A 12,924-nucleotide genomic window follows, 5' to 3' on the forward strand; every position below is an offset into this window, starting at 1 on the left:
TTCAGTTACCTCTATGACAGCATGATGGTTTTTTTTTAGGTAGGGTGTTTCTTTTTGGTTTTCTTTTAAAAAAGAAAACTGTAGGCTGGGCACAGTGGCTCACGCCTATAATCCCAGCACTTTGGGAGGCCAAGGTGGGCATATCATGAGGTCAGGAGATAGAGACCATCCTGGCTAACACGGTGAAACCCCATCTCTACTAAAAATACAAAAAATTAGCTGGTCATGGTGGCGGGCACCTGTAGTCCCAACTACTTGGGAGGCTGAGGCAGGAGAATGGCATGAACCCAGGAGGCAGAGCTTGCAGTGAGCCGAGATCACGCCACTGCACTCCAGCCTGGGCAACAGAGCGAGACTCCATCTCAAAAAAAAAAAAAAAAAAAGAAAAGAAAACTATAAATCTTTCCCCACAACTGTAAATCTTTCTCATTCATAGAGATATCTTCCTAAATGTGCTACTAAACTTATATTTATATTTTCACCATTTCAGTGTGACTTCATTTTAATGCATGCTGTTATAAGGGTCTCAGTTGCTCTTCTCTGCAGGTCAATATCTGTTGCGGGAAGTCAGGGACACCAAATGGAGGGACCGGCTGGAACCGTGACAGAAGAACATAAATTATGAAGATTTCATGGACATTTATCAGTTCCCAAAATTAATACTTTTATAATTTCTTACGGCTGTCTTCACTGCAATGTCTGAACATAAATTGTGAAGATTTCGTGGACATTTATCAGTTCCCAAATGATATTTTTATAATTTCTTATGCCTGTCTTTAATCTCTTAGTCCCGTTATCTTCGTAAGCTGAGAATGTACATCACCTCAGGATCACTATTGTACAAATTGATTATAAAACATGAAATCAGTGCACCTTAAAAAAGAACAGAATAACAGCAATTTTCAAGGAACAAGGGAAGATAACCATATGGTCTGACTGCCTGTGGGGTCGGGCAGAATAGAGCCATATTTTTCTTCTTGCAGGGAGCCTATAAACGGATGTGTGAGTAGGAGAAATATCACTGAATTATTTTCCCAGCAAGGAATACCCTGGGGAAGGAATGCTTTCCTGGGGGGTGGTCTATAAACAGCAACTCTGGGAGTGTCTGTCTTACGTGGTTGAGATAAAGACTGAAATACACACTGGTCTCCTACAGTACCCTCAGGCTTACTAGGATTGAGAAATTCCAGCCTGGTAAATTTTGGTCAGACCGGTTCTCTGCTCTTGAACCCTGTTTCCTGTTAAGATGTTTATCAAGACAATATGTGCACAGCGGGACATAGACCCTCATCAGTAATTCTAATTTTGCCTTTGCCTTGTGATCTTTATCACCCTTTGGAGCATGTGATCTTTGTGACTTACTCCCTGTTCACACATCCCCTCCCCTTTTAAAATCCCTAATAAAAACTTGCTGGTTTTGTGGCTCAGGGTCGTCATCACGGTCCTACCAATATGTGATGTCACCCGTGGAGGCCCAGCTGTAAAATTCCTCTCTTCGTACTCTTTCTCTTTATTTCTCAGACTGGCCAACACTTAAGGAAAATAGAAAAGAACCTACACTGAAATATTGGGGGCTGGCTCCCCCGATAAATATCCAATTTTCCTAGCACCCTGTTGAAAAGACTTTCCCCATTCATGTATCTTGGCCTATTTGCTGAAAATCTATTAACGGTCAATGAAGGGTATCTTTATCTGTTTCTGCTGATATAATGAAATACTATAGATGGGGTAACTTATAAGGAACAGAAATTGGCCAGGTGCAGTGACTCATGCCTGTAATCCCAGCACTTTGGGAGGCTGAGGTAGGTGGATCACCTGAGGTCAGGAGTTCGAGACCAGCCTGACCAACATTGAGAAACCCCGTCTCTATTAAAAATACAAAATTAGCCGGTCATGGTGGCGCATACCTGTAATCCCAGCTACTCAGAAGGCTGAGGCAGGAGAATCACTTGAACCCAGGAGGTGGAGTATGCAGTGAGCCAACATCACGCCATTACACTCCGGCCTGGACAACAAGAGCAAAACTCCGTCTCAAAAAAAAAAAAGAACAGAAATTTATTTTTCACAGTCCTAGATACTGGGAATTCCAAGATAAAGGTACTAGCATCGGGTGAGGGCCTTCCTCTTGGATCTTCTGGAGGGAAGAAATGCTTGCATCCTCACAGGGCAGAAGACAGAAGGGCAAGAGAGGGCAAACCCCATCCATCAAGCCCTTGTAGTGGCATTAGTTTATTCATGAGGGCTTTGCCAAAAGGCCAAAGGCCTGCCTCCCAAAACTGTTTCACTGGGGATTAAATTCTAACCTATGAATTTTGCAGGGGAAATAAGCATTCAAACCATGGCAAAGGGGATGATTTCTGGACTCTCAGTTCTGTCTTACTGATCTGTGTATCAGACATTTTTCCAGTAGGTCTGGCTACTATAGTCCTTGACCTGATGATGGAGAGCTCCACCCCATTCCACATGATTGTCATGCACGGATAGAAATGGTCCTAAAGCCTCCAGAAGATCTCCTTGACATACTCTTAGACAACATAGACTTACTTCTATTTTGGGATAGCTCCTGTAAATGAATTGTTAAGGAAAACATAATAATGGGTTATGCAATATTTTCTTTCTTTGTTTTTTGAGACAGTGTCTCACTCTGTCGCCCAGGCTGGAGTACAGTGGTGTGATATTGGCTCACGCAGCCTCTGTCCCCCTACTCAAGCAATCCTCCCACTTCAGGTTTCCGAGTAATTGGGATGACAGGCATGCACCACCACACTCAGCTAATTTTTTAACTTTTTATAACAACAAGGTCTCACTCTATTGCCCAGGCTGGTCTCAAATTCCTGGCCTCAAGTGATTCTCCTACCTTGATATCCCAAAGTGTTGGGATTACAGGCATGAGCCATCATGCCTGGCCTAGGCAATATTTTCTCTACATGAAACACTTGAGGCATACTCTTCACTCACTGTAAAATCAGTATGAGCCTAGAGCTCATAGCTCTTACTACATCTTGCACGCTGACAAACAGGAAAACTGCCTCTACTGACACAGACTGCAGATATGCTTTTGGAATTCCTTATGCAACTGGCACAATTTGAAAAATTTGTGGATTCACAACTTGTTCTGGTATACCCACTGCCGATAGACACATAACTGGGCTACTATTTTTTTTTTTTTTTTTTTTGAGATGGAGTCTTACTGTGTTGCTGGGGCTGGAGTGCAGTGGTGTGATCTTGGCTCACTGCAACCTCTGCCTCCCGGGTTCAAATGATTCTCCTGCGTCAGCCTCCCAAGTAGCTGGGATTATAGGTGCCCACCACTATGATCAGCTAATTTATTTTTGTATTTTTAGTAGAGACAGGGTTTCACCACGTGGGCCAGGCTGGTCTCGAACTCCTGACCTCGTGATTCGCCCACCTCGGCCTCCCAAAGTGCTGGGATTACAGAGGTGAGCCACCACGCCCGGCCCATAACTGGTGAACTATTACAGATGATTTGCCTCCCTATTAAAATGGCCACTGTTCACTGTCTAGTCCATACTACGGAGATTTATACTATATCTCTAGGGAATGATAGGGCTCAAAAGATTGCTAAATAGGAAGCCAAAAATGGTACCTTGTTCTTTCCCAATCCAGTTTGCAAAACTGCCTTTACCCGTGACTGATATTATCAAGTAAATGTCCCATAATCTAAGAAGATCTATAGATACAAAAGGGAAAAATAGTATTGTAGAGATTATACATTAGGCCAGTCACACTCCCTGTGCTATTAATACTTTCCTTCAATCTTTTCCCTTACACAAATCTCTCACCAAGTTGGACATAGAGGCAGATGGGAAAGAGTTAAGAAAACGAAAGACAACTGACTGGCCTGGCATCTACAAAATTACTGACCCACTTATTTCTCAGTGCATTACTTGTAACCCACCCAATTTCTGGATGAAGCTCACAAATTTCACAGAATCCTCCAACACCCACACTGACCCTCCCAGCCCTCCAAATGGATGGTTTATCTACAACTGTAGTCAATTCTCATTGTTTAGTGATTGTCTCCATGTTTAGTGGATGGGCGCAATGCTATACAGCTAGACATGATGATGCCATCAGTGGTAAATAATTAATCATTGAAATTATTCCTGGTTTTAGTATTCTTTTGTGGACAGAACAAAACCAATGAGGTAATTTTATATGTGCTGCTGAAGCGAGCACAACCAAGGAGGTAATTTTATAGCTGATATAAACCACATTCTTGCAAAAACTACGGAAGACTTATTAAAATACATACCATCCTTAACCATCAGAGCAAAGAGAATATAAAAATCTAAACATAAAAAGGACTTTAGAGAAATAGCTGTCAAAACACTGGACTTCAATGGCCAGAAGCATTAGCCCTGGCCCTTATAAAAATCTGAAATACTACCAACAGTAGACATGGATTATCTCCTTTTCTGTAGTTTTTGGGTTTTGGTTGCACTGTAGCTATTGGTATATCTAAACTTTACATTCCTGGATTGAGTAAATATTCTTGGGAATGAAGTGAACAATATGATGCTATGACTAGCTACATGTAAGAACTAACCAGTGGCCGGGCATGGTGGCTCATGCCTGTAATCCTAGCACTTCGGGAGGCCGAGGCAGGCAGATCGCTTGAGGTCAGGAGTTCAAAACTAGTCTCGCCAACATGGTGAAACCCTGTCTCTACTAAAAATACGAAAAAGTTAGCCAGGCATGGTGGTGGGCACCTGTAATCCCAGGTACTTGGGAGGCTGAGGCAGGAGAATCGCTTGAACCCGGGAGGTAGGAGGATGCAGTGAGCTGAGATCATGCCACTGCACTTCAGCCTGGGCGACACAGTAAGACTCCATCAAAAAAAAAAAAAAAAAAAAACTAACTAGTATATTTGGAGCATGTCATCAACAGGTTAAAAAAAATGCCATCACTTTTGACCAAAAGATAAGGTATTTCCAGGTGTGGTGGCTCAGGCCTGTACTCCCAGCCATTTGGGAGGCCAAGGTGGGAGGATAACTTCAGTCCAGGGGTTCGAGACCAGTCTGGGCAACATAGCAAGACCCTGTCTCTGTAAAAAAAAAAAAAAAAATTAGCTGAATGTGGAGATATGTCTCAGTAGACCTAGTTACTCAGGAGACAGAGGCAGGAGCATCACATGATCCCAGAGTTTCAAGGCTGCAAGGGGCTGATCATGCCAGTGCACTGCAGCCTGGGCAACAGACTGAGACCTTGTCTATAAAAAAATAAAAATAGGTCAGGCACAGCGGCTCACGCCTGTAATCCCAGCACATTGGGAGGCTGAGGCAGCTGGATCATTCAAGGTTGAGAGTTCGAGACCAGCCTGGCCAATATTAAACCCCATCTCTACTTAAAAATACAAATATTAGCTGGGCATGGTGGTGGACGCCTATAATCCCAGCTACTCGGGAGTCTGAGACATGAGAACCACTTGAACCTGGGAAGCAGAGGTTGAGTGAGCCGAGATTGCACCACTCCTCTCCAGCCTGAGTGACAGAGTGAAACTGTGTCTTCGGAAAACAACAACAACAAAAGAATATTATTCAGGCATAAAAAAGCAATGAATTACTGACATATGCTACCACATGGAGGGAACCTGAAAACATGCTAAGTGAAATAAGCCAGACACAGAAGGACAAATATTGTATGCTCCACTTATTTATTTTTTTGATTCGTTTTTTTGAGACAGAGTCTCACTGTCACCCAGGCTGGAGTGCAGTGGTGCGATCTCAGCTCACTGCAACCTCTGCCTCCATGGTTCAAGCGATTCTTCTGCCTCAGCCTCCTGAGTAGCTGGGACTACAGGCGTGCACCACCACACCCAGTTAAGTTTTGTATTTTCAGTAGAGACGGGGTTTCACCATATTGGCCATGCCGGTCTCGAACTCCTGACCTTGTGATCCACCTGCCTCAGCCTCCCAAAGTGCTGGGATTACAGGCGTGAGCCACCACGCCCAGCCCTAGATGCTCCACTTAGTCAAATTCACAGAGCAAGAGAGTAGACTAGACGTCATCAGGGATTGAGTGTAGAGAAGGGAAGTTGTTTTTTAATGGGTACTGAGTTTCTGTGTGGAGCGATGAAAATCTAGAGATAATTAGCTGTAATGGCTATAACACATTGTAAATGTATTTAATGCTCCTGAATGACACACTTAAAAATGATTAAAGTGGAAATTTTATGTTAGTACATGTTACTTCAAGACAATTTATGAACAAAAGAAAAGACACAATTCAAGCTACTATATATGAACACAACAATATCTAGAAGCACTGGATGGAGGTTGGTGTGGTGGCACATGCCTCTAGTCCCAGCTACTCAGAGCCTGAGGTGGAAGGATCGCTTGAACTCAGGAATTCAAGCCCAACAGGGGCAACTAGTAAGACCCTGTCTCTTAAAAAATAATAATAATGATAATAATAATAATAATAATGCACTGAATGGACAAAACAGCAGAGGAGATATTGCTGAAATAAAGATAAGTGAACCTCAAAAACTAGGAGTATAACCGATTTAAAATATAGCACTCAGACAAAAAAATGAACAGAACCTCAGTGAGCTGTGTAATGGGACAATTGTACAAGGACTCCTTGAAAGACAGGAGTAAAAACAGAACAAACAAAAAATATTTCCATAAATATTTCAGGCCGAGCACAATGGCTCAGGGGTTTATTGAGCTTTTTGGATCTCTAGGTTTATAGTTTTCATCTAATTTGGAAAATATTTGCTGTAATCCCAGCACTTTAAAAGGCCGAGACAGGCAGATCATGAGGTCAAGAGATTGAGACCATCCTGGCCAACATGGTGAAACCCTGTCTCTACTAAAAATACAAAAATTAGCTGGGCATGGTGGCACGCGCCTGTAGACCCAGCTACTCAGGAGGCTGAGGCAGAAGAATCATTTGAACCTGGGAGGCGGAGGTTTCAGTGAGACAAGATTGCGCCACTGCACTCCAGCCTGGCAACAGAGCAAGACTCCATCTCAAACAAAAACAAAACAAAACAAAACAAAACAACAATAACAAAACTAGCAGTAACAATATGTTTTACACAGGAGTTTGAGACCAGCCTGGGCAACATGGTGAGACCCCATCTCTACAAAAAAAATTAAAAATTAGCCAGATTGCCGGGTGCGGTGGCTCACACCTGTAATCCCAGCACTTTGGGAGGCCGAGGCGGGCGTATCACGAGGTCAGGAGATCGAGACCATCCTGGCTAACACGGTGAAACCCTGTCTCTACTAAAAATACAAAAAAATTAGCTGGGCTTGGTGGCAGGCCCCTGTAGTCCCAGCTACTCAGGAGGCTGAGGCAGGAGAATGGCGGGAACCCGGGAGGCAGAGCTTGCATTGAGCCGAGATCCCGCCACTGCACTCCAGCCTGGGCAACAGAGTGAGACTCCGTCGCAAAAAAAAAAAAAAAATTAGCCAGGCATGGAAGCTCACACCAGTGGTCCCATCTACTCAGGAGGCTGAGGTGGAAGGATCACTTGAGCCTTGGAGGACGAGGCTGCACTGAGCCATATTCATGCCACAGCACTCCAGCCTGGGTAACAGAGTGAGACCCTGTCTCAAAACAAACAAACATTTGTCGCATATTTTCCAAAACAGATAAAAATTATGAACCTACAGATGCAAAATGCTCAACAAACCACAGGCACAATATATATCAACAAATCTACACCAAGACACAGCATCAAATTGCTGAAAACCAGGTATAATAAAAAATTCTTTAAAGAAACCAGAGAAAATAGACACCTTAACAACAGACAACCAAATGTAACATTGATTACATACTTATTATCAGAAACAATGCAAACAGGAAGACAATGGAGTAACATCCTTAAAGAACTAAAAGAACAAGGATATCAACAAAGAATCTTATATTGAGCAAATAATATCTTTCCAAATGAATGGAAAATACTTTATTTAGTCATAATAAATGTGTTTGCAATCAGCATATTGGCTCATTGAGAAAGGTACAGCCGGGTGTGGTGGCTCACGCCTGTAACCTGAGCATTTTGATAGGCTGAGGTGGGTGGATCACCTGAGGTCAGGATTTCAAGATCAGCCTGGCCAACATGGTAAAACCCCATCTCTACTATAAACACAAAAATTAGCTAGGTGTGGTGGCGCATACCTGTAGTCCCAGCTACTTAGGAGGCTGAGGCAGAAGAATCACTTGAACCCAGGAGGCGGAGGATGCAGTGAGCCAAGATCGTGTCACTGCACTCCAGCCTCGGCGACAGAGTGAGATTCCGTCTCAAAAAAATAAAGGTCCAGCTGGGTGCAGTGGCTCATGCCTGTAATTGCGACACTTTGTGACGCCGAGGCGGGAGAATTGCTTGAGTCCAGAAGTTCAAGACCAGCTTGAGCAACACGGCAAGACTCCATCTCTACAAAAAAATTAAAATGGCATGGTAGTATGTGCCCGTCCAGATCACTGAATCCGTAAAAAAAGAAAAACAGGCCAGGTGCGGTGGCTCATGCCTGTAATCCCAGCAGTTTGGGAGGTCGAAGCAGGCAGATCACCTGAAGTCAGGAGTTCGAGACCAGCCTGACAAACATGGTAAGATCCCATCTCTACTAAACATACAAAAATTAGCTGGGCGTGGTGGCGGGCACCTGTAATCCCAGCTACTCGGGACGCTGAGGCAGGGGAATCACTTGAACCCGGGAGGTGGAGAAAGCAGTGAGCCACGAGATCATGCCATTGTACTCCAGCCTGGGTGAGACAATGAGATTCCATCTCAAAAACAAAGGAAAACAAAACAAAAACCAAACAAACAAAAACCAAACTGGCTGTCTTACTACTGGGGTGGCTGAGTAAGTCCTCTAAACTACTATTCCTATCAAATGGTCCTTGGACACACCCTTAGAGTTTTCTCTTCCCAAGATGATTTTTCATCTTGGTAATATGGATAGACTGGGAATTTTCCAAATCTTTTTGTTTCAGTTCCATCTTAATAATTCCATCTCCAGTCAAGTCTTTCCTCACATTAGTATATGCAGTCAAGAGGAACCAAGCTGCCTTTTTCAACACTTCTTAGAAATGTTGTCAACTCAATATCCAATTTCATCACTTCCTAGTTCTACTTTCCACAAAACTAGCACAGGACCACGATACACAAAGTTCTCTGCCACTTTATAAGAAGAAATCAACTTTTCTCCATTGTGTAATAACATTAACCTCAATTCTCTTTTTACATATATTTTAGTTTGTTTCAGAAACAGGGTCTCACTCTCTCTCCAGCCCAGGCTGGAGTGCAGTAGCATGACCTAGCTTACTGCAGCCTTGAACTCCTGGGCTCAAGTGATCTGGTGACCTCAGCCTCCCTGGTAGCTATGACTACAGGCATATACCACCAAGCCTAGCTAAATTTTCCTTTTTTCTTTTTTTGTAAGGATGAGGTCTCACCATGTTGCCCAGACTGGTCTTGAACTCCAGGCCTCGGTTGGGCATGGTGGCACACACCTGAAGTCCCAGCTACTTGGGAGGCCTGAGGCAGGAGGATCTGTTGAGCTTAGGAGTCGGAGGTGGCAATGAGCTATAATCACGCCACTGCACTCCAGCCTGGGCAACAAATTGAGATCCCCATTTCCAGGAAGGAAGGGAAAGGAGAGGAGGGGAGGGGAGGAAGAAGAGAAGAGAAGGGAAGGGAAAGGGGAAGGAGAAGGGGAAGGGGAAAAGGAAGAGGAAGGGGAAGGGGGAAAATCCAAGCCTCAAGCGATCCTCCCATCTTGGCCATTCAAAGTACTGCCATAACAGGCATGAGCGACCATGCACATTCCACTTTCATTTTTGAGGATCCACTCTCATAATCTAACCTAATCCTTATCATATCTCAAAGAAACCATTGCCTAATACTGCCACATCAGGGAAGTGGAAAAATAAATAAAATTTTCTACAAACATTTATTCCATAACAAGTGATTAGTAGCTTTTTATCATTTTCTAAATACTCTTCATGTTAATCCCTTATCAGATATATAATTTGGAAATGGTTTCTCCCATTCTATGGGTTACCCATTTACTCTGTTAATATTGCCTTTTGATGCCAAAGGTCCACAAAATCCAAATTATTCTTTCCCTTGTGGGTCATGCTTTTGGTGCCAAATCTAGGAAATCATTGCCAAATTCACTGTAATACAGCTTTTGCCATGTATTTTCATCTAACAGTTATACAGCTAAGATGGACACTCACATATTTCGTTCATTTTAACTTCTGTACATGTTAGGTATGGGTACAACGTCATCCTGTTGCATGTGGATGTGCATTGCCCAACAGCATCATTCTACAGAAACATTAAGCTATCCCCCATTGAATAGTCACAGCAGACTTTTCAGTAATTGTTAGACTTTATGTAAATTATTAGACTTTATTAGACTTTCTGTGTTATCTTGTTGCATTGTCTATTTCTGCGTTATTACGCTAGTACCAAACAGTTTTTATTAGTATGGATTTGTAATAAGTTTTGAAATCAGGAAGTGTGAGTTCACCAACTTTGTTCTGGCTTTTTTTTTTTTTTTTTTTGAGACAGAGTCTCGCCCTGTTGCCCAGGCTGGAGTGCAGTGGCATGATCTCAGCTCACTGCAACCTCCACCTCTCAGGCTCAAGTGATTCCCCTGCCTCAGCCTCCTGAGTAGCTGGGATTACAGGTACGCGCCACCATGCCCGACTAATTTTTGTATTTTTAGTAGAGATGCGATTTCACCATGTTGGTCAGGCTAGTCTCCAACTCCTGACCTCATGATCCACCTGCCTCAGCCTCCCAAAGCGGTGGGATTACAGATGTGAGCCACCACATCTGGCCATTGTTCTGGCTTTTGAAGACTGTTTTGTTCATTCAGAGACCCTTGAGATGTCATATATAAAAAAATAAAAAATGTTAAAAAATGGCTCCTAAGAAGGAATCAAGTGGTCAAACCTATCCCTAAAAGGCTAGCAGGGGACAAAAAGTGGTATCTCTCAATAAGAAAATACAAACCTAAGATGTTTTGAAAAGTGGTGTATCACCTTGGAAAGTTCGTCATAAGGTAAGAACAAACCAAGAAATCACACACTAAAGCAGAGAGAAGCTGAAGTTCCTCAAAGTGTTAGAGCTGCCCCTACAGTGGCAAAAATGATCCCTCTAGTTCATGATAAACTAAGGATAAGCATTAAGTGTGTGGCTAGAGGACACGTCACAGAACCACAGCCCTACTGATGGTAACATCATACTTGAAAAAACACTTAGCCAGGCCAAGCGCAGTGGCTCACTCCTGTAATCCCAGCACTTTGGGAGGCCAAGGCGGGTGGATCACAAGGTCAGGAGTTCGAGATCAGCCTGACCAACATGGTGAAACCCAGTCTCTACTCAAAAGACAGCTGGGTGTGGTGGCGCGCACATGTAATCCCAGCTACTCAGAAGGCTGAGGCAGGAGAATCACTTGAACCCGGGAGGTGGGGGTTGCAGTGAGCCAAGATCACGCCACTGTACTCCAGCCTGGGCGACAGAGCAACACTCCGTCTCAAAAAAAAGAAAAAAAAAAAAGAAGGAAAGAAAGAAAAGAAAACAAAAAACACTTAGCCTCTGTAAGCATCACTGTGAGGGGGCTGAGGAGAGCAAGAGGAAGGAGTTTGAAGCCAGTAAGTTCTGGCTAGGCTAACTATGCAACACAGTGCAGCCCAAGAACTTGAAGACCACAGGAGAATTGGCATCGGCTGATGCCAGGGAAACAACAGCATTCCTAGAAGAGCTCATAAAACAGAAAAAAGACACTACCTTCCAGAGTAAATCTTCTATTGTCATGAATCAGGCATGTTCTAGAAGATGCCCAATGGTACCTTCATACATGAGTGCAGGTACTGGGGTTCAAGGCCTGGAAAGACCACCTTTTTCTGGTGCTGTCAGGCCATGCATTAGTTCATGAGAACAAGCGAGGCTTCGTCTACTGAGCAATCACCAGGTTCTTTAGGACAAAAGCAAAACTTGCTGGCCTGTGTCCTGGCAAGAACATAAGAAGGCTTTCTTCTAGCAATGCTTCACTCCTGATGTGATGGAATACCTCAAAGAGAAGGGACTGCCACTCAAGGTCTTCCTCAGAATTGACAACACTCCAGGCCATCTCTCCAATCTCTGTTTTGCCTAAAAGAACATGCAAGTGATATTTCTGCCTCCTAAAACTACATCACTGCTGCGTCACTAGATCAAGGCATCAAGTGCATTCAAGTGACTTACATCCTTGGGTGAATTCATGGAGTCTTGATGCTAACCTTGAATGTACCACAGTGGTTTTATTGAAGAGCTTCACAATTACAAATACAATTGTGCTTATTGGGAAGGCTACAGATGCCCTAAAGCCCAGGACAGCCAATACATGTTACAAGCCATCATGGGGTAAGGGAGTCAATGATTTCAAGGACTTCCCTACTATTAATGCAGTTATTAAGAATATGTGAAATGTTGCAAAAAAAGTTGGTGGGGAACGCTGTCTGAAATGACTGAGGATGACGTTAAGGAACACACCGAAAAGCAAAGAGAAACCCTTACCAGCTAGGAACTTCAAAGTCTGCTGAAATCCACTACAGATGATGATGAGCTAGAAAACTTAGAAGACACAGAGCCATTGATTTGGACACTTGAAAAGTTTGCCACAGTTTTTCAGTAGGCAAAGGTGAAAAAGAGGTACGATCCTCAAAGATCCTATAATGGAACAAAGCTTTCAATCTACCTGAGAAACAACAACATGCCTATAAGCACCACAAGATTTTTTTTTTTAATGAAGCAAAGGAAAAGAAGAACTAGCTTCCTATAGCTAAGCATCTGCAAATAAGACGGAACATTCAATGGTTTTTTCAGTAGGCAAAGGTGAAAAAGAGGTACGATCCTCAAAGATCCTACAGTGGAACAAAGCTTTCAATCCACCT

Source organism: Homo sapiens, chromosome 19 (assembly GCF_000001405.40).
Source record: "Homo sapiens chromosome 19, GRCh38.p14 Primary Assembly".
In the NCBI taxonomy this organism is placed as follows: domain Eukaryota; kingdom Metazoa; phylum Chordata; class Mammalia; order Primates; family Hominidae; genus Homo; species Homo sapiens.